This window comes from Homo sapiens, chromosome 7, assembly GCF_000001405.40.
Source record: "Homo sapiens chromosome 7, GRCh38.p14 Primary Assembly".
NCBI lineage: Eukaryota > Metazoa > Chordata > Mammalia > Primates > Hominidae > Homo > Homo sapiens.
This window is the reverse complement of record NC_000007.14, coordinates 95,695,059-95,718,900: the sequence shown is the minus strand read 5'-3', so window position 1 is coordinate 95,718,900 and position 23,842 is coordinate 95,695,059. Positions and strand designations below refer to the sequence as shown.

General features: G+C 34.0%; 1 long non-coding RNA gene across 1 annotated transcript in view; it reads right to left on the bottom strand.

Moving 5' to 3' along the window:
- LOC105375409 (uncharacterized) overlaps positions 1-23,842 on the bottom strand; it is a 59,585-nt gene that overhangs the window by 1,001 nt on the left and 34,742 nt on the right. The window contains exon 3 of the long non-coding RNA XR_927774.3: positions 1,725-1,794. This is a non-coding gene — a long non-coding RNA (uncharacterized LOC105375409). The remainder of the gene's footprint in view (positions 1-1,724; positions 1,795-23,842) is intronic.

Here is a 23,842-nt window from a genome sequence, read left to right as displayed (position 1 = left end):
TGTATACGTGGATCTTCCTAAGACTTAATCGTCACCTCTTACATGCCAAGAAGTTTTATAAATAATGTCTAATTTAATGTTGACAACAATCTTGTCAAGTAGATACTATCACTTTTGTTTTCTTGTGTGTGGACAAATAAATGATGACTCAGAAAGTAAAGTGGCATGTCTAAAAGCTGAAAGCTAGAAAGCAGAAGAACCAAGTCAGGACTCCAGATTCCCAGGCCAGTGGTTGTTCTAATATACCACAATATTGAAACAGTACAAGTTTTAAGCGATGAGGATTTAGATATCATTTAGCCCATGCCCTTCATTCTTTACCAGGAAAAGATGACACACAGGAAAAAGAGAAAAGTATTGGGGATCACATAGCTAGTAAAGAATAGAACCTAGGTACTATTCATGATTCTTGGTTCTCAATCTCCCCCTCATACTGTATGAGACTAAATATATACTACTTAATAGTACTGTGGAAATACTCTTATTTCTGGCAGTATGACAGAAGAAAGAAAAAAGGAAAAGAAAAAGAAAAAAATATACACATACTTTTAAGGGAAAAAAAACACAAAAACTCTAGATAAAATAATTAAAAACAAACTTTCACTTTCCTGAAAAAGAAATTCCTAAATTTGCAAGCTGAAAATTTTAAAGTTAAGGTAGAAAGGTATCAAAAAAATTCAGAAGACAAAAAGTAGTGAACAAGATAATCAAGTGAGGAATTTCAGAATTTTTTATCTGGTGGCCTCACAGGACGTTTGCAAGAAGCAAACCTTCAGGCCTCCATAAGACTAAAGTCATATAGGATACCACTGCATAAAACTGGGACACCAATAGGGTAAAACCCTTAGTTGGAAAGGTGAATCAAAAAATTAAAGTTAGGCTGGACACAGTGGTTCATGCCTGTAATCCCAGCACTTTGGGAGGCCAAGGTAGGAGAATCACTTGAGGCCAGGAGTTTGAGACCAGCCTGGGCAATATAGTGGAATCCTGTTGCCACAAACAATTTAAAAACTAGTTATTCATAGTGGCACATATCTGGAGTCCCAGCTAAGTGGGAGGCTGAGGCTGGAGTATTGCTTGAGCCCAGGAGTTCAAGAACAGCCTGGGAAACACAGCAAGACCCTGTCTCTACTAAAAATAATTAGGCCGAGTACAGTGGCTCACGTCTGTAATCCCAGCACTTTGGGAGTCCGAGAAGGGTGGATCATTTGAGGTCTGGAGTTTGAAACCGGCCTGACCAACAAGGTGAAACCTGTCTGTACTAAAAAAATAAAAAATAAAAATAAAAATTACCCAGGCATAGTGGTGCATGCCCGTCGTCCCAGCTACTTGGGAGGCTAAGGCAGGAGAATTACTTGAACCTGGGAGGCAGAGGTTGTAGTGAGCTGAGATCACACCACTGCACTCCAGCCTGGGCAACAGAGCAAGACTCAAAAAAAAAAAAAAAAGAGAGAGAGAGAGAAAGATCCTATGTGTCTCTTTACTCAATTCTCCATAATTATAATATGTTGCAAAGCTATAGTACAGTATAGCAACTAGGATATTGACACTTATACAGTAAAAATACATTTCTATCAACAGAAGGATCTCTATGTTGCCCTTCTGTAACACATCCACACCCACATTCTCTACCTGTACTCTCTTCCCAACCTCTATTAACATTATACAATACTAAATAGACTTCAGAGCAAAGAACATTAATAGAGACAGAAAGGGATAGTTACCTAATGATAAAAAGGTCAATCCTCCAAGAAGATTTAACAATCCTAAATGAGTATTCACCAAACAACAGAGCTGAAAAATAAATGTTGACATCTATAGATTATTGTTTTTTCATACAATTTGATATCTTTCCGACTCTTCCCTGACAAGGGATTTTCTGTTTAAACCTGAATACATTCATACAGCAACTCCCTGTGTGGTCTCCACTAACAGGGCTGAGTTGACCTTGTTAGTAGTGGGCAATGTGAAAGGCCTGACTCTCCACTAGGCCTCTTTGTTCTCCAACTCAGTAGAGGAAAGAAAGAGATTCCTTGTTATTAACAGGCAAGAGTGGAAGTCTAGACCGCCCTTTAGCCTCCACTGACACCATGGTGGGATGGGGGGATTCATTACAAGCTGGCAAACATGAAAGTTCCGGCTTCTTGTTTGGTCTCTTCTGACACCACCTCCGTTGTCATGTTGGTGCTTCATTACAGCCTTACCAAGGTGGAAGTGTAGGCTCCCACTCGGCCTTTACTGACATTGGTAGCAGTGGGGTTACAGTACTCTTGTGTGGTGTTTGGTTGGAGTAGAGTAGTTATTGTCTAAAAGCTTCACATCTTGCCAGGTTGCTCCTTTTTTAGTACTTGGCTAGAGAGAGCAGGCTTTTGTCATGGCTATTTTTGTCTGCTTCAACTCAAGTTTCTAGCTTGCCAGTTTCCTTATCTCCAAGTATGTAATAGATAAGGCAAAAAGAAAACCCAGGGAACTCACTATGGTGGTGTTCCTTAGGTCCCAAGATCTTTAGCTGGTCTGCCTCCTTCTTTCCACCTTTCAGAGTATTCTTATGTTTGTCTTCTACATAATGTCCAGGATTTTTAGTTACACATATTGGAAGGATAGAAGAAAGTAGTCTACTCTATCTTAGTGGAAGTGGAAGTGATTATCTGCATTTTGCAAAATTTTCTCCCAATATGTGACTTGTGTTTTCATGTGTTTAGCCATGCGTTTTGGAGAGCAGGTTTTTAAAACAACTCCATTGAGGTATAAGTGACATACAGTAAAGTGGCCATATTTAACTCAACAATTTGAAAACTTTTGATATCTGTATAGACCTATTAAACATCATCACAATAAAGAAAGTGAACATATTCATCTCCAAAAATGTCTCATTCTTCTTTTTAACTCCTCCATCCCTCCTACTGTTATCTGCTGTCCTACTCCTACCTTCCCTCCCATCCCCAAGCAACCTCTGTTACTATAGATTACACAATTTACTATAGATTGCACTGCTATAAATATACACTATCACTATAGATTGCTTTGCATTTTCTGAAATTTTATGTAAATTAAATTATATAGTGCACACTCTTTTCTGCCTTTTTTCATTAAACATGATTATTTTGCAATATATCAATGTTATTCCATGTACCAATAATTCATTTTGTTTTACTGCTTAGTACTATTTCATTGTATAGGTATGTTACAATTTATCCATTCACTAATTGATAAACATTTGGTTTGGCTTTCATTTTTAGGTTATTACAAACAAAGCTACTGTGAACATTCATGTACAAGTCTTTGTATAAGGATATATTTCTTTTGTCTTGGGTAAATAACTAATTATGTCATGGCTGGATTACATGGGAGGTGAATGTTTAGCATTTTCAGACACTGTCATACTCTTTCAAAATCCCCACCAGCCCTGTGTGAGTTTCAGTTCCTCCACTTAATTGACAACACTTGATTTAAATGACCTTCTTAATTTCAGTCACTTTGATAGGTTGGCAGTGGTATCTTATTATGACTTTGACTATGACTAATGATGAACATCTATTCATGTTCTAATTTATCATCCATGTATCATCATTGGTAAAATTTCTGTAAAATTATTTTGTTCATTTTTTATTAGGCTCACTTGTTTCTTATTGTTGAGTTTTAGAGTTGTTTATGTATTCTAGGTATTCTGGAAACAAGTCAGATATATGTTTCGCAAATATTTTCTTCCACTCTGTGGCTTGTTTTCTCATTCTCTTAACTATTTTCTAAAGAGTAAATGTTTTTAATTCATGGAACATAATTTATTAGAGTATTCTTTCATGAATTGTGCTTTTGGTGTCGTATCTAAGAAAATTTTGTCTAATCCAAGATCATGTAGATATTCTTCTATCTTTTCTTTTGGTAGTTGTATAGTTTTAAGTTTTACCTTTAGGTCCATGATCCATTTTAATTTTTGCATATGTGTGAGCTGTGGATTCAAGGTCATATTTTTGCATATGAACAGTCAGCCAACTCTCTCAATATCATTTGTTAGAATGTTTATCTTTTCTCCACTGCATTGCCTTTGCATCTTTATAAAGATAAAAAACAAAAATAAAACATCAGTTGTCCATATTATGTGGGTTTATTTCTGGACTTTCTATATCAGGGGTTGGCAAACTATGACCTGTCCACCAGGTCTTATCAGCTGCCTCTATTTTTAATGCCCGTGGACTAAAAATGCCTTTTACATTTTTAAATGGCTACATTTCAAATGATTATGTAAAATACCTACCTAATAGCCTCAATTTTGTTTCCTGGTCACAAAGCCTAAAGATTGATTATATGGCTCTTTAAGAAAAGTTTGCAAACTCTTGCATTACGTTGTTTCATGAATCTATTTATCTACCTTTACACAAATGCTATGTTGATTATTGTAGATTTATAGTAATTCTTGAGGTCAGGTAATACTATCCCTTTTGAACAGCCAAATTTTCAAATTTTAATGAGGTTAAATTAATTAAATTTTAATCTTACAGATGGTGCTTTGGTATAGTATGTAAAAAGACCCTTACCAAACTCAAGAGCCCAAAGGTTTTAGCTAATCTTTTATTCTAGGCATTGTATCGTTTTAGGTCTTACGTTTAGGTCTGCAATCCATTTTGAGTTAATGTTGTATGTGGTGCAAGGTATAGGTAAAAGTTTTTTTTTCCGCCTCTCTCTACATGATATTCAGTTGTTCCAGTACCATTGGCTGAAATGACTGCTTTCCCCATTGAATTGCCTTGAAATCTGTCAAAAATCTGTTGAACCTGTATGTCTTGGTGTATTCCTTGAATCTCTATTTTATTCCAATAATCAATAATGCGCCAATCCTTTTTTTAAAAATAACACCCTATTCTGTTGATCACTAGAGTTTTATAAGTCTTGAAATCAGATAGTGTGAATCTTCTGAATTTAGTTCTTATTCAAAAATGTTTTGGCTATTCTAGATCCATTGTTTTCCATATAAATTTTAGATCAGCTTGTGAATTTCTATGCAAAAAAAAAAGACAATTTGGTGGGATTTTGATTGGCATTGTCTTGAATCTATAGATAAATTAGGAGTGTATTTACATCTTAATGACACTGAGTCCTCTAATTCACGAACACTATATATCTATTTATTTAGTTCCCTTTTGATTTCTTTCATCAGTGTTTTGTAGTTTTTAGCACACAAACCCACCACCTATTTTGTTAGATTTATACCTATGTATTTCATGTTATTGATGGTACTATAAATTACACTCTTTTTGTGAAGTTCAATTTTTAACTGTTCATTGAAGGTATGCATAAATAGAACAGATTTTTGTGTATTGATCCATACCTTGCCACCTTGCTAAACTGACATATTAGTTCTAGTAGTGAATGTGTAGATTTTCCATATTGTCTGATAATAGAGACAGTTTTCGTTTTTCATTTTTAATCTGTGTGGTTTTTGCTTCTTTTTTTTATCATCTTGTACTGGATAGAATCTTCAGTACAATGATTAATAGTGACAGTGAATATCCTTATTTATTCTCCCACTAGCAGATGTAAAGCATTGATTCTTTCACTTTATTAAGTATGATGTTAGCTGTAGAGTTTTGTAATAGATGATTTTAATCAGTTTAAGAAAGTTTCTTTTAATTTTTAATTTGTTGGAAGTTTCTATTATTGATAGATAATGCATTTTGTTAAATGTTTTTGTAGCTATGAAGATAACCAAGTTTTGTTTCTTGTTTAATCAGTTGATAAGTTTAATTACATTAATTGATTTTTGTTTTAAAAATTGAAGATTTTTTCCAATTGGAAACAAAATGAAATTTTTTAAGTTGAAAATTTGAACCAGCATTCCTGATATAGACCCTAATTCATTATAATATATTGGCCTTTTTATATATTGATAGATTCAGTTAGGTAATATTTTAGGACAAGAATTTATATCTATATTCATGAGGGATATTGTTTTATAGTTTTTTTAAGTTTTTCAAACGTATTTTTTTAATCAGTGTAATGCTCAACTAATAAAATGAGTTTGTTAAGTGTCTCTTTTTTTGTTTTTCTGAGTTTCTGTAGAACTGGTTTTATTTGTTCCTTAAATGTGTAGTAGAATTTGCAATTAAAGTCATCGCTGTGTGAAGTTTACTTTGTTCAAAGATTTTTAAAAAGAAATTTAATTACTTTAATCGGTATAGGACAATTTGGATTACATTTTCTGCTGGCATTACTGATGTGAGTCACCATGTCCAACCCTGTCTTTGTATTTAAATTGGGAAACTTTTAGAGAACGTATGATTGGGTCTTATTTGTTTGTTTGTTTTGTCCACTCCAACAATTTTTGACTTTTAATTGGTTTATTTAAACCACATTTAAAGTGATGAGCTATATAGTTGTATTAATATCCACTGTGTTTGTAACTACTGTCTGTTCATTACATTTGTTCTTTGTTTCTTTTTTATTTTCCTCTTTTTCTGTTCCCATTCATCCCTTAAAAAATTGCTGTCATTCATTTCATGTATCCATATACTATAGTCACACAGTAATTGTTACTATTTTCAGTTTAAACAGTTATTTATTTGATTAATTTATTTACAATAGCTATTTATTTGATCAATTCATTTATTTCTTCTTCAATGCTCTTTCTTTCTTCATGTAGATTAAAGTTTTTTTCCTATATCATTTTCCTTCTCTCTGAACTACTTTTTAAAAACATTTCTTGCAGGGAAAGTCTGCTGTTGATTAATTTCCCCAGTTTTTATTTGTATGAGAATGTTTTTATTTCTCTTTCACTTTTGAAAGATAATTTTGCCAGATATAATGGTATATTAGTGAAGATTTTTCTTTCAACACTTTAAATATTTCACTCCACTTTCTTCTTGCTTGCATAGTTTCTGATGGGAAGTCTGATGTAATTTTCATCATTGTTTCTTTTTAGGTAAGTTGTATTTTCCTTCTCTGGCTTTCTTCAAGATCTTCTCCTTGTCTTTGGTTTCCTGTAGTTTTAACATGATATTCCTAGGTAAAGATTTTTGGTATTTATACTGTTTTGTGTTCTTTGAACTTCCTGAATCTGTGATTTGATGCCTGACACTAATTTTGGAAAATTCTCAGTCATTATTACTTCAAATATTTATTCTGCTTGGTTCTTATTTTCTTTTCCTTCTGGTATTCCAGTTATGCATGTATCATGCCTTTTGAAGTTGTCTCACATTTCTTGGATGAGTTGTTCTGGTTTTTTTTTAATTATTGTTATTTTTTCTCTTTGCCTTTCTGCTTGGGAAGTTGTATTGGCATATCTTCAAGTTCACTGATTCTTTTCTTGGCCATATCCAGTCTACTGGTGAGCTCATAACAGGCATTCTGTATTTCTGTTGCAGTGTTTTTTAAATTTATTTATTGCATTTCCATTTGATTCTTTTTTAGATTACCTGTCTCTGCTTATATTATCTATTTACTCTTAAATTTTGTCTTTCTTCCATTAGATTCATTCATATATTAATCATAGTGATATTAAATTCTCTGATAATTCTAAATTCTGTGACATATCTGAGTCCGGTCTTATGCTTACTTTGTTTCTTCAGATTATGTTTGTTTCTGGCCATTAAGCATTACTTGCAAGTTAAAAAAAAATCCAGACAAGATGTATCAATTAATAGGAACTAAGGTAAAAAGGCCTTTGTTATGAGAGTTTATGCTAATCTGGCTAGGTGTTGGCTATGTTTAATGTTTCCTGTACATGGTTTCAATTTCCTTTAGAGTCCTTTTTGTGTTGTTGTTCTTTTTCCATTGTTGTCTTTGGGTTTCCATTTAAAGCTTCTTCAGCTGTGATCCACTGTTATAGTGGAATCCCATTGATGTGGTAGTGAAGTGTGGAAGGAAGAAACACATTCTATAATCCTATGATTAAATTTCAGTCTTTAATGAACCTGTGTCTCTGGGCTATAACCCATTTTCCTCCCTCACATGAGACAAGAGGGCTAGAGAGGACTGGAGTTGGGTAATTTCCTCCAAGCTGAATAGGCTCTAATAAAGTCTTTTCCCCTGGTGAATAAGACTTTGTTATGGAGAATGCTCTGGGCATATCTCAAAATGGTTACATTTTCCCTCCCACTTCTAGAAATGTGAGAGCTCTTTCTTGGCTTATCACTGTGAGAAACTGATGGGATTCCTGGAAACAAAACCTATGAAAATGTGGAGGATCCCCAATACTCTGTCACCCCCCAAAATCCATCACTCTCATGCTAATCTACATTCTGCCTTCAGCAATTCATCAAAGTTACCATATAAGTGTTCTTATCAGTTTGCAGCTCAAGTAGTTCCTGTTCTAGGTAAATTCATCTCATCTGTGATTCTCTGCATTCACCTGTCTCTCCAGATGTTGGTGTGGCAGTATGCCCTACAAAGAGGTTCTCTGATGGATTCAATAAAAATCAGTGGTTTTCAATTTATTCACTTATTTTGTTCTTGTAAGGGGAGTAGTGGTAACTTCTAAGTTCTCTACATATTGGAGTTGAAACCAGAAATTTTTATTTTATTTTATATATCCTATAAACTCGCATTGCTACTATATTTGTTTATAGATGAATAACAATCTTTTAGAGCAATTAAAATAAAATTAAAGATATCTTTTATATTTATCCTTATTTTATACATTAATGGAGTTGTTCACTTCTTTGTGTAAACCCAGTTTTCTGCTAGCTAACATATTCCTTCTGCCTGAAGATTTTCTTCATCATTTTTTTTTAGATGGATTCTTACTCTGTCATCAGGCTGCAGTGCAGGGGCACAATCTCAGCTCACTGCAACCTCTGCCTCCCGGGTTCAAGCAATTCTCCTGCCTCAGCCTCCCGAGTAGCTGGGACTACAGGCACCCACCACCACACCTGGCTAATTTTTGTATTTTTAGTAGAGACGGGATTTCACCATGTTGGCCAGGATGGTCTCAATCTCTTGACCTTGTGATCCACCCGCCTCGGCCTCCCAAAGTGCAGGTGTGAGCCACGTGCCCGGCGATTTTCTTCATCATTTCTCATCATGCTGTGCCGCTGTTAATAAATTCCCTCAATTTTTGTTTTGCTGAAATAAAAGGTCATCATTTCTCATTCATTTTTGAGATTTTTGCTGGGCTTAGGATTTTTAAATTGACAGGTATGTTTCTTTCTCAACATTTTAATGATGTCACTCCATTGTTTTCTGGCTTGCATATTTCTGATAATTCATCTGGTGTAATTTCTATATTTTTTATCGTTGTATGTAATGTGTCTTTAAAAAATCTGTATTCTGTTAAGATTTGCTTTTATCTTGGTTCAGCCGTTCAATCACGATGAAGTAGACACATTTCACTGTATTTCTTCCACTATCTGAATGTTAAAATCCTGGACAAAATGCATAAAACACTGGAAGACTCTTACATGAGAGAAAAGAAGGTGTACTGCCTAGGAATTTTGGAACTTGAAAAATGACAGTGGTCTGTTCCCTTTTTCTGGTTTTTGTTTTGTTTTGTTTTTTGTCTCTCATATACCCCATCTTGATCACTAGAGAAGAACACAACTTGGAAATGCCAATAGGCACAGGCCAAGAAGCTCCAGAAAAATCCTACTTTCTCTAGCCAAAGGACGTGAAAAGGAGTGGGCCAATAGGAGAGTACTCTTTGAGCAGTACCCATCCTATTCCAGCCAAACACAGTACAAAAAGAAAAATGCCCCTTCTCACATACCAGGCACTGCAGGAAACATGGACACTGTGAGCAGAGCTCTGACTTCGTCCTCATCTGGTAGTAATAAGTGGTTGGGTACTCCTTATAGTCTCAGCCAGTTAAGTGTATGTAGAGACAGTGGGGTGTGATGGGTCTAGGCTTCCATTCATGATTTGTAGTAACTAGTCAGCACTTCTCTCTTTGCAACTTGAGGTTAGGGAAAGAATTACAGAAAGGAAGTAGTTGAAGAAAGAGATACTTTATTTATTCATTTAACTTTTATTTTAGGTTCAGGGGTACATGTGCAGATTTCTTATTACAGACAAATTTGTATTATGTGGGTTTGGTGCACAGACCATATTGTCACCCGGGTACTGAGCAGAGAGCCTGAATGTTTGTTTGTTTGTTTGTTTCTGAACCTCTCCCTCCTCCCTCAAGTAGGTCTTAGTGTCTGTTTTTCCCCTCGCTGTGGCCATTAGTTCTCATTAGTTAGCTCCCACTTATAAGTGAGAACATATGGTATTTGGTTTTCTGTTCCTGGGTTGGTTAGGTAAGGATAATGGCCTCCAGCTCCATCTATGTTCCTGCAAAGGACATGATTTCATTATTTTATATGGCTTCACAGTATTTCAAGGTGTATATTTACCACATTTTCTTTATCCAGTCTATCATTGGTGGGCATTTAGTTTGATTTCATGTCTTTGCTATTGTGAATAGTGCTGCAATGAACATATGTGTGCATGTGTCCTTATGGTAGAGCAATTTATATTCATTTGGGTATATACCCAGTAATAGGATTGCTGGGTTTAATGCTAGTTCTCTTTTTATTTTTTTGAGGGATGACCACACTGCTTCCAACAATGGTTGGACTAATTTACATAGCAGTATGGCAATAATTTACATTGCCATATGGCAATGAGAAGAATGCATAATCCATTGTTTTTGGATGGAGAGTTCTGTCAATGTCTATTAGGTTCATTTGATCAAGACTTGAGTTCAGGTTCTGAATATATTTGTTAATTTTCTCCCTGTCTAATACTGCCAGTGGGATTTTGAAGACTCCCACTATTATTGTGTGGGAGTCTAAGTGTCTTTGAAGATCTCTAAGAACTTGCTTTATGAATCTGGGTGCTCCTGTGTTGGGTACATATATTTAGGATAGTTAGATCTTGTTGAATTGAACCCTTTACCATTATATAATGACCTTCTTTGTCTCTTTTTATCTTTGTTGGTTAAATCAAAGTCTGTTTTGTCTGGAATTAGGGTTGCAACCCCTGCTTTTTTCTGTTCTCTATTTGCTTGGTAGATTTTTCTTCAACCCTTTATTTTGAATCTATGAGTGTCATTGCATGTGAGATGGGTCTTGATAACAGCATACCATTGGGTCTTGCTTCTTTATCCATCTTGTCACTCTGTGCCTTTTAATTGGGAAATTTCGTCTATTTACATTCAAGTTACTGTTGATGTGTGTGGATTTGAAACTGTCATTGTATTGTTAGGTTGTTGTTACACAGACTTATTTGTGTGGTTGCTTTATAGTGTCACTGGTCTGTGTATGTACTTCAGTGTGTTCTTGTTGTGGCTGGAAATGTTCTTTCCTTTCTATATTTAGTGCTTCTTTCAGGAGCTCTTGTAAGGCAGGTCTGGTCGTCATGAATCTCTCAGCATTTGCTTCTCTGAGAAGGATCCTTTTTCTCCTCCACTTTTGAAGCATGGATATGAAATTCTTGGTTGGAAATTTTTTTGTTGTTGTTGAATGTGGGCCCCTCATCCCCTCTGGCTAGTAGGGTTTCTGCTGAAACATCTGCTATAGACTTTTAGACTTCTATGGACTTTTTAGCCTGATGGAATTCCCTTAGGAATTCCCTTAGGAGAACTGCCCTGTCTCTCTAGCAGCCTTTAATATTTTTTCTTTCATTGCAATCTTGGAAAACCTGACGATTAAATAATTATACGTCTTGGGTATGAAATTTTTGTGTAGTATCTTGCAAGGGTTCTCTTTATTTCCTGAATTTGGATGTTGGATTCTCTAGTGAGGCTGGGGAAGTTTTCATGGATAACATCCTGAAATGTGTTTTCCAAATTGCTTGCTTTCTCCCCCTCTCTTTTAGGAGCACTAATGGTCTATAGATTTAGCCTCTACATAATCCCATACTTCATGGAGGTTTTGTTCATTCATTTTCCTTCTTTTTTTTTTTTTAATTATCTGATTGTCTTATTTTAGAGAGCCAGTCTTCAAGTTCTGAGATTCTTTCCTCAGCTTGGTCTATTCTACTGTTAATACTTGTGATAATATTGTGTCTGGAGTTGGTTCCTTCTGGTGGGTTTGTGGTCTTGCTGACTTCAAAAATGAAGCCGCGGACCTTCGCGGTGAGTGTTACAGCCCTTCAAGATGGCACGGACCCAAAGAATGGGCAGTAGCAAGGTTTATTGTGAAGAGCAAAAGAACAAAGCTTCCACAGTGTGGAAGGGGACCTGAATGGGTTGCTACTTCTGGCTGGGGTGGCCAGCTTTTATTCCCTTATTTGTCTGCTCCCATGTTCTGTTTCTGCCCTATTAGAATGCCCTTTTTTCAATCCTCCCTGCGATTGGCTACTTTTGGGATCCTGCTGATTGGTGCATTTTACAGAGTGCTGATTGGTGCATTTTACAGAGCGCTGATTGGTGCATTTTACAATCCTCTTGCTAACTACAGAGCGCTGATTGGTGTGTTTTTACAGAGCACTGATTGGTGCATTTTACAATCCCCTTGCTAGCTACAGAGCACTGATTGGTGCATTTTACAATCCTAGCTACTGAGTGCTGATTGGTGTGTTTTACAATCCTCTTGCTAGACAGAAAAGTTCTCCAAGTCCCCACTCTACCAAGGAAGTCCAGCTGGCTTCACTTCTCAATATTATGAAATTCTTATGGTGTATTTTTTAGCTCTATCAGGTCATATAGGTTCTTTTTTATACTGGCTGTTTAATCTGTTAGCTCCCATATTATTTTATTTTCATTCTTAGCTTTCTTGAATTTGGTTTCAAAGTTCTACTGAATCTCAATGATCTTCACTCCTATCTATATTTGGGATTCTATTTCTGTCATTTCAACCATCCCAGCCTGGTTAAGAACCCTTGTTGGAGAACTAGTGTGCTTGTTTGGAGAACAGAAGACACTCTGGGCATTTGACTTGCCAGAGTTCTTGTGCTGGTTCTTTCTCATGTCTGTGTGTGCATGCTCCTTTAACTGTGGTATAAATTGAGTACAGTCAGTAGACTTTCTTTTTGCATGTTTCCAGAGGGCTGAGGCTTTGTGCAGAGTCTTTATTTGTAGCTGACTTCTTGCCTCTGGTTTTACAAGGGGACAGATTACCAAAGTATTTTTCAGTGTTGAAGTTTTAGAGTGTGAACCAGTAAGTAGCACTTAAGCGTAATGGTCAGTAGATAGGGTCTTGTTCAGTCATAGGGGTACTCTATATTACCTCACAGCTCCAGCCATGCTCCCTCTCACAGCTGAAAAAGATACTTTATATACAAAGTCCTGGGCAGATCCTCAAGTGACTCATGCAGGATTATCAACAAAGTAACAGTTTTAGGTACTGAACTTCAGTGGAAAACCAACCAGGTTTCAGACTGGGTTACTGGTAGCACACAATAGTGCAGATGAGAATATCACTACAAAGACTTTGAAAAATAATTTCATATTTGAACTACAACTCACAAAAGTAGGCCATAAAATGTATGCTAAACCTAAGTAGCTGGAATAACTGCTAAAAAAAGAAAAGGAAAACTAACTGGGAACCTTGTCTCATCACATAATGTATAATGTAACAAATGGCTAGAAAATAAGAGAACATTACTCATTGTACAAAAACAAGGAAACTGTGAAATTGAAAGAGAAAAGACAATCAGCAAATGCCAACACCAAGATGACATGAATTTTGAAATTATCTGCCAAGGATGTTAAAGCAACTATTATAAAAATTAGTAGTTAGATACATTCTTGAAACAAATTTTTAAAGTGGAAAGTCTCAACAAACAAAGATAAAAAGAAAATCAGATGGAAAATTTAGAACTGAAAAATTCAATAACCTAAATGAAAAATTCACTGGATAGGCTCAGTAAGAAAACGGAAATGACAGGGGAAATAATAAACTTGAATATAGATCAATAAATATTATTCAATCTGAGCAATGGAAAAAAGATGATTGGGAAAAGAATGAATAGAACCTCAGATAACTGAGACAACAACATAAAATTTAACATTTGTGTCATCAGAGTCACAGAAGAAAAAGAAAAAGTGTGCAGGGCAGAAAACTTAAGAAAAAAATAATAATGGTGGAAAAACTTCCAAATCAGCTAAAACAAATAAACTATAGATTTAAGAAGCTGAGTGAACCAAAAATAAGACAAACTCAAAAAAGTAAATTTGTAGAGACATCATAATTAAACCTCTGAGAACTGAAGACAAAGTCCTGAAAGATCCAGAGAAAGTCCTGAAAGATCCATGACAGATTGTTTATAGGAAAAAAGCATTTCCCAGAACAGTGGAATTGTCATCCAAAACCACAAAGGTCAGAAGGAAGTAGCAAAATATTTTCCAATTGCTGGAAGAGGAGAACTGTCAACCCAGAATTCCATATCCAACAAAAATATCTTTCAGGAATGAAAGTGAAATAAAGACATTTTTACTAAACTACTTAGCATGGTTCATTTCAAATAAACCACCTAACATTATACCTCAAGGAACTAGAAAAACAAGAACAAACTAAACCCAAAATAAGTACAAGAAAATAAACAATAAAGATCAGAGCATAAACCAACAAAATAGTGACTAAAAATACAAAATATCAATGAAATGAGGAATTTATTTTCTGAAAAGATAAAATTGACAAACTGCTACCTAAAAAAATGAAAAAATGTCAGTAAGGCTAACTTAGAAGACTTGCTAAAGAAAAGTATTCCAACAGAAAGAAAATAATAATTGAAAGAAACCTAAAACATCAAGAATAAATATGGAGCAATGGAATAGGTAAATATAATAGGATATCATTTTCCTTATGAGTTTAAAAAATTATATTAGTCAAAAAATTATATTAGTTGGAAGCAAAATTTTTAAATTATCTAATGTGGTTCTCAATGTATATAGAGAAAATATTTGGGAAATTTATATTACAAAGGGAGGAGGGAAAAGAGACCTAAATGGTGATAAGGTTTTGACTTTATTACTTGCAGTGATAAAATGTCAATACTAGTAGGTTATAATAAATTACATATGTATATTGTAATACCCAGGGTCACTACTTAAAATACTACATTAAGAAATGTACTCAAAGACATTGTAAGTAAATCAAAACAGAATACTAAAAAAATGTTTAGGTTACCCACAGGGAAGCAGAAAATAGAGAAATGAAATAAGAAGGGAAGATGGAAACAAATAATAAAATGGCAGACTTAAGTCCTAATACGTCAATAATTACAATAAATGTAAATACCCAATTAAAAGACACATTTTAGCAGAGTGAACAAAAATTATGACAAACTGTATGCTACTAACAGGAAATTAATATTACATGTAATTATATAGTTAGGTTAAAAGTACATGATGTAAAAATACACTATTCAAACAGTAATAAAGAAAAATGAGAATAGCTATCTTAAATAAAGTAGACTTCAGAGGAAAGAAAAGATATACAATGACAAAAGGGTTAATCCACTGACAAAGACATCACAATTTTCAATGTGTACACAGCAAACAAGCTGCAAAATATATGAAGGAAAAACTGACCACTTAAAAAAAAGACAAAGTTATAATATAGAGTAAATTTTATTTATAATTTGTTATTCTCTCAAGTAACCAATAGAAATAATGGACAGAAAATCTGAAAAGTTATAGTAGAATTGAAAAATACTACTAATCAATGGGATCTAATTACGATTTATAAAACACTCTACCAAACAACAGCAGAATACAAATTCTTTTCAACTGCATATAGAATATTCACCAATACCACATCCTTAGTCTTTAAAACAGCATTCAACAAATTCAAAAGAATTGAAATCATACAAAATATGTTCTCTAACCACAATGGAATCAAACTAGTAATCTATTAGAAAGACAATAGAAATATCTTCAAACACTGAAAAATTTAACCACACACATCTACATAATCCACAGGTCAGAGAAGAACTCTAAAGGGAAATAAAATATTACATTAAATAGAAGAAAAATGAAAATACAACATATTGAAATATGTGAGATGCAGCTAAGCAGTGCTTGGAAGGAAATTTTTAGCACTAAATGCTAATATTAGAAAATAAGAAAAATTTAAAATTAAAAAATTTAGCTTCCTCCTCAGGAAGATAGAACATAAGAGAAAGATTAACTCAAAGCAGCAAAAGAAAGGAAATAATTTGGAGACTAGAAATAAATGGAACTGAAAATAGAAAAACAACAAGAGTGATGTCAGTAAGATGGCTGACTAGAGTTACCTAACACTTATCCCTCCCACAATAAATGACAGAAACAGCAAGAAGAAAAATACTTCAATTGGAAAACTGCTATTAGAAAAGTCTAAAGGAAAACACTGGAATACAGCAAGGGATTCACAGAAACCCTGTGAAGCACAATGAAAGTTTAAAATTCATTGGTAGAGGTAAATTCCAAATCAAAGTTAGAAACAGTAGAGGTAAATTTACTACCAAATTCAGGATAGCACTAATGTAAAGATAGTATATAATCTTTCAAATCTCTAGTACAAATGTTAAAATGGTTGATGAAATCTATAGTTCCAATAAGATGTTAAAGAACACACTATATTAAAAAATATAAATTAGGGCTACAAAATTATAAATTGCACGTGGAGGGCAAAAGTCTAGAGTATTTGTATAAGATCAAAGTTAAGTTGTCAACTTATAAATAATATTCTGCATAAACAGGAACTGAAAGAGAGCAGGAGTAGCAATACTTATGCCAGACAAAATAGATTTCTAGCCAAAAACTTAGAAAAAAGAGATAAAAAGGCCATTATATCATGATAAAGGGGTTAATTTGGGAAGAGGATGTAACGATTTTAAACATATATGCACCCTACCTCAGAGCACCCAGATATATAAAGCAAATATTGTAAGATCTAAAGAAGGAAATAGACAGTAACTCAAAATAGATTAAAGACTTAAATGTAAGACCCAAAACTATAAAAGTACTAGAAGAAAACATTAGGGGAATGCTTTATGACATCAGTCTAGGAAATGATTTTTATATAAGAACACAGAAACAGAGGCAACAAAAGCAAAAATAGACAAGTGGGATTACATCAAACTAAAAAGCTTCTGCACAACAAAGGAAATAATCAACAAAGTGACTAATGAGAGAAAATATCAGCAAACTATGCAACTGACAAAGGGCTAATGTCCAGAACGTATAAGAAACTCAAACAATTCAATAGCAAAAAAATAAGTATTCCAGTTTAAAAATGGAGAAAGGACTTCAATAGATATTTATCAAAAGAAGACATACAAACAGCCAAAGAGTACATGAAAAAATGCTCAAAATCACTCATCATCAGGGAAATGCAAATCAAAAGCCACAATGAGATAGCAGCTCACAACAATTATAATGGCTAGTAAAAAAAAACGAAAAATAACAAATGCTACCATGAATATGGAAAAAAGGGAACCTTTACACATAAGCTGTTGATGGGAATGTAAACTGTCATAGCCATTATGAAAAACAGCATGGAGTTTCCTCAAAAAATTAAAAATAGAGCTGCCGTATGATCCAGCACTTCTACTATTGGGTATTTATTCAAAGGAAATAAAATCAGTATGATAAAGGATATCTGAACTTCTATGTTATTGCACTATTGACAATAGCCACGATATAGAATCAAGCTAAGTGTCTGTCAACATACAAATTAATACAGTCTGATATATATACACAATAGAACATTACTCAGGCATGGAAAAATAAAATCCTGTCTTTTTTGGCAACATGGATGAACCTGAAAGACATTGTTAAGTAAAATAAGCCAGGCACAGAAAGACAAATACCACATGATCACACTCCTTTGTGGAGTCCAAAAAAGCTTATCTCATTGAAATATAATAGAATAATGGGTTGCCAGAGGCTGGGGAGTGTGGGGAACTGGGGAGGGGAAGGAGAGATCAGTCAACAGATACAAAATTACAGTTAGGTAAGAGAAATAAGAGTATTCTACAGCATAGTAGAGTGACTACAGTAAACTATATTATAGTGTACATTTCAAAATAACTAGAAGACAGAATCCTGAATGTTCTCACCATAAAGAAATGATAAAAGTTTGAGTTGATGAATATGCTAAATACCATGATTTAATCATTATACAATGTGTCCAAACATTATGCTGTACCCCACAGATGTATATAATTATGTGTCAATTAAAAACAAAAGAAAAATTTTAAAAAGAAAACAGAAAAAAACAGTAGATAAAATCCATCTATCAAACCAAAAGCTGGTTGCTTGAAAAAGATTGATGAAATTGATAGACCTTTAATAAAACTGACAGACAAGAAGAGAAAGAAGATACATATTATCAATATCAGGGGGAGAAGGGGAATATCACAACAAAATCTGTAGATATAAAAAGATATTAAGGGAACACTACCATCAACCATACACACATAAATTTGACCACTTAAATGAAATGAATCAATTTCTGCAAAACTGCAACCTAACAAATTTCACCAAAGGTGAAATAGATAATCTAAACAGTCCCATAACTATCAAATAAGTTAACTTTGAAAATAAATACTCCAAAAAAAAATCCCCAAGATGGTTTCACTGGACAATTCTCACAAACATTTAAACAAAAATTACCTGAATTCTATGCATTCTTCTTTCAGAAAATAGAAGAAAGCACTTCCTAACTCATGTTATGAAGCTAATAATATCCTCAAACCAAAATCAGCAAAGATAGTACAGAATAAAACTACAGACACAAAAAACTCAACAAAATATTAGTAAATCTATCCAGCAATACATATGTAAATAATTATGTGTCACAACTAAATAGGAGTCATTCCAGAAATATAAAGGTGGTTTTATACTTGAAAATCAAGGTAATTCAACATATACAGGTTAAGAAGGCAAACCACACAATCATATAAATTGGCATACAAAAAGCATTAAAAATATTCAACACCCTTTCATGATGAAACTCAGAAAACTAGGAATAGACAGGAACCTCCTCAACCTCATAGAAAGCATCTACAAAAGCCTACAGTGAACATCGTGCTTAATGGTGAAAGACTGAATATGTCTCCTCTAAAATTAGAACCATGAAAGGAGGTCTACTCTCACCACCCCTTCAACACAGTGCTGGAAGTTGTAGGCACTGCAATAAGGCAAGAAAAGGATATAAACAACATATAGACAGTAAAGGAAAAAATAAAATGGTCTCTTTTCATATGGCACAATTGTCTACATCAGATATCAGCAAGCTTTTTCTGTGAAGGACCAGATAGTAAATACTTAGCTTTGTAGCAATGTGGTGCCTGTCACAAGTATTCATTTCTGTTTTTATAGCATAAAAACAGCCATATACAAAATATAAATATGCATGTTCTTATGAAAGTTAACAAAGAGAGTGTCCTGAATTTGTCCCACAACCCATAGTTTGCAAACTCTCTAGTGTATATTAAAAAAAATCCCCAAAAGTTAAAAAGAAATCCCTTGAACTAATAAATGAGTTTATCAGGGTCACAGGATCTGATATGGTTTGGGTGCATCCTTATCCAAATCTCATGCTCAATTGTAATCCTCAGTGTTAGAGGCGGGGCCTGGTGGGAGGTGATTGGATCATGGGGGTGGAGTTCTCATAAATGGCCTAGCACCATCCCCCACTTGGTACTGTATGGTGAGTGAGCTCTCATGAGATCTGGATGTTTAAAAGTATGTGGCACTACCCCCTTCTCTCTCTCTTTCTCCTACTCCAGCCACGTAAGACACCTGCTCCCACTTTGCCTTCCACCATGAGTAAAAGTTTCTTGAAGCCTCCCCAGAAGCCTGTACTGCTTGGTTTTCACACTGTTATTAAAAAATGTCTGAGACTGGGTAGTTTATAATTGGCTCATGGTTCTGCACACTGTACAGGATTCTTGATCAAGAAATCAATAATATTCCCATAGACTAGCAACTAACATTGAAAGCCAAAACTTAAAAAACAAGACCAATTAAAATCACTAAAAAAATTTAACTATTAGGCGTCTGTCTTAGAAAACATTTACAGGACGGTATGCTGTCAAGTACAAAATGCTGATGAAATAAATAACAGAAGCAGCAATAAAATGAAAAGACACACTATTCTCATAAATTGAAAGACTTACCCTAGAAAAATGTCAATTCTTCCTAAATGTATCTATAGATTTAGTGCAATTCATATCAAAATCTTCATAATATTTTTGTAGATATAATCTAGGTTAATATAAAATTAATGTAAAATAGCAAATAAACTAGAGTAGGCTAAATATTTTTGAAAAGTAATAAAGTTCGAGAAATCAGGCCACCTTGGTCTAAGACTTACTGTACAGCTACATTAATCAAGACAGAATCATGCAGAAAAAGACACATAGATCAATGGAGCAGAACAAAGAACCTAGAAAGAGATCCCTTAAAGGTATGGACAACAGATTTTGATAAAAATGTGAAAGCAATCAATAAAGGAAAGGTGACATTTTCAATACATGGCACTGGGAAAATTGGACATTCACAGCCAGAAAAATGAACTACTACCTAAACCTCACACCTTATGTAAAATTAACTCAAAATGAACTATAAGTCTACATGTAAAACACAAATTTATAATACTTATATGGGAAACATTGTAGAAAAAAATCTTTGTGACTTGGGTCTAAGAGATCTTAGATGTGATACCAAAAGCATAATCTATGAAAGAAAATTTGATAAATTGGACTTGATCAGACTTAAAAACTTCTGCTCTGTGAAATACCTCATTAAGAGGATAAAAACACAAGCCACAGACTGGGAAAGTTTATTTGCAAATCACCAATAAGACAATGGTATTATAAAGAACTCCCCAAGTTTAACAAAAAAAAAAAAAACCAAACACCACAATAAAAAAAAGGTAAAAGACTGAAGCAGACATATAACCAAAGAAGGAATGTAGATTGTAAATAAAAGCACATATAGAAATGTAGAACATCATATATTGGTTATGAACACAGTTATGCTGAGTGAAATAAGCCAATATTAAGGAGTTCCTTACTGTATGATTCAGTTTACGTAACCCTCTTGATGTGACAAAATTATAGATATGGAGAAGAAATCAGTGATTGTCAGAGTTAGGGAGGTGGGTGGGCAAAGAGGATCTGACTGTAATAAGGTAGCATGAGGGAGGGTCTTTGTGATGATGGAACAGCCCCATATCTTGTGGTGGTAGCTGTGTGAATCCATACAAGTGGTAAAATCTCTTAAAACTATGTACATGTATATATACTATATACATGTAAAAAATCAGTTCAGGTAAAAACTGGTGGAATCAAGTAAGGTGCGTAGCCTAATCAACAGTATTTGATTTTGGTAATGTGCTAGTAGATGTAAGATATTAGAATTGGGGTGAGTTGAAGAAAGGGTACATGGAACATGTTTGTACTACTTTTGCAATTTCTTGTAAGTCTATAATTATTTCAAAAGGTTATTAAAAAGGAACCATTGGACTGCCATTCCTACTGCCACCTCAATGACAATTTTATGCCAGTGAATTTGAAAACCTAAGTAAAACAGGCAAATTTCCAGAAAAATATTACTCACTGAAACTGACTGAAGAAGAAAAAGAAAATCTAAATAGTTCATATGTACACGTTAAATAAATGATCCAAAATTATAATAAAACTTCCCCCATTCACACCACCAAATAAATTTTACAAAGCTTTCAAGAATAAACTTTAGTTAAGAGAATAGATATGACACATCACAATCCAATGTGAGTAATGTCACTGGTGTCAGTTTTGCCTCTTCAATAGAAATATATACTACTAAATTGATTTTATTTTCTTCAATGTCCTATAATTTTCTTTTATCAGGTCTGTTCCAGTTACTCATTTGGAATTTGCTGTTAAAGATACTTCATGTTCTGGGAAGACAACTGGCTGATCCTAGGCTTCATTTTACCAGGACTCCTACAGAAATGCTTCCTCCTAACAGTTTAAATTTTTCTTTTCATTTCGTTTATGCATACTCAGGCATTTTTCCTGAAATTATTGATATTTATGATTCTGTATGTAGTAATGCTATTATAACATTATTTGCACAATTACATTTTAATAGATAATATAGGAAAAATGTGATCAGGAAAGATAAAAGAATGCCATGTTTCTAGTTTAGAGCTCTGGGTTTTGTCTCTGTAGTCTAAGCTTATCCTTACTGTTTTTGATAGTAACAGTCCCTTCCTTTTTTCCCTTTGTTGGAACAGCAGAAGTTCTTTACTTTTGGGCTGCATGAAAGCCATTTATCCCTATGTGGTCTACTATTCTGTCTCATGGGGCTTACCTATTCTTAAGATGGTTCTATCTATTTCTTTTCATGTCTAGAATAAGCAGAAGTTCTTCTTATTCTTTCTTTTATTTTCTATTAGGTTCTTCGGTGTGTCCTCAACTCCCCTACCTTCCCCATCAGTTCCTTCTTTTTTTTTTTCTTTTGGTCTATTTCTTTTAGATCTGCTCTAGTACCAAATAATCTCCACATTTTTCAGTAGTCTAATAACAGTGTCCTTACCATGTTTATCTCAACTGGGACATCATTACATCCCACCTGTATTTTTAGTTGCTCTTATAATTGTAGTTGGATCTGGGGACATCCTGCCTTGTAAGTGTACTAACCTTAATTACACTTACATAAACAACAATTCATCTTATATGTGTGCATTACGCCCATGCTCTCTCTCCCAGTTTTATCAGTATTGTTTTACTTTTCTGAAACCCTTCCACAGTTTAGCTGTTAAGCTCTTGTTTGGATTTTACCATCTAATTTTCCACCCTGCAAACATCCACTTCAGATAATGACTGAATATTTCACTGATATTTTCAGATATTGAAATAATGACTATCTTTTGTCTGTGACCTGTATGTTGTCTGAATTCCACCCCTTCCTTTGCTTTTTAATGTTAGTGTGGTAGTGTCAAGGAACATGATATCCATATATCCATTTATTGCCATGTGGTTTCTAATTCTCTAACTTGATATCTGAATTCTTTAGCAATATTTTGTAATTAATAATATTGTGTATTATATATTTGCCATATTTTGTATTTATTATTCTGTGGTTGAACCTATTTTATGCTCGCTATAGCATAGATTTTTTTTTTAGTAATCATGACTGGTCACTCTCTGTAAATCCTGTCATATGGATTGTTGAAATCTCCCATTAGAGTGTTAATTGACGGGCCCAGAACACCCTGGGGTCATTATATTCATCAAAATATTTATGATATGCAGCACCATCTGTTGGAAACAGAGGTTTATTTCTTCTCTTTTTTCCTAATTCTGTCTAGATCCTCCACTGTTTCAAATCATAATTATCACATCCTTTACTGTCTAGTTTTCTCTTATCCATTTGGTCTAAGCATCTTGGGAGTAGAAAATCAACTCACCTTCTATTTTAGGTTTAAACATAACTGTGTATATTTCTAGTAACTATTTGTTTACTTTTAAAAATCATGTCTGCTTAGTCTGTTACACTAGTAAATATTCCTTTACTGAGTTACAATATCTTTTAAATTTATTCGTGTTTTAAGATTGCTAATGAATTTCTTTCAGTTCTTGATCTCAAATTCTATTTTGCTTTAGTCTTATACACATACAGAAGCATATCATTCTAAAAACATGATGCTGTGCATATATACATAAAGCTAACAGAGATTCAGAAGAACATTTACATTCTGAAGGTGCAAAAAGGTCAGGCTCAAGCTTAATAACAATCCCGGAGGAGAAAATGTCATGTCATTATGTGGATAAATGCATCTTATTATCAGGTACAAAAAAATGTATAAATATAATTTGTGATATGTTTCCTGGAAAATGAAATAGACAAATCAAGAGTTTCAAAAAATGGTCCCAAATCATGAGTTCAGTGAGGAGTGGAGAGATGCGGCTGTACTAGTTTGATATTAAGAGATGCAAGGAATCTAAA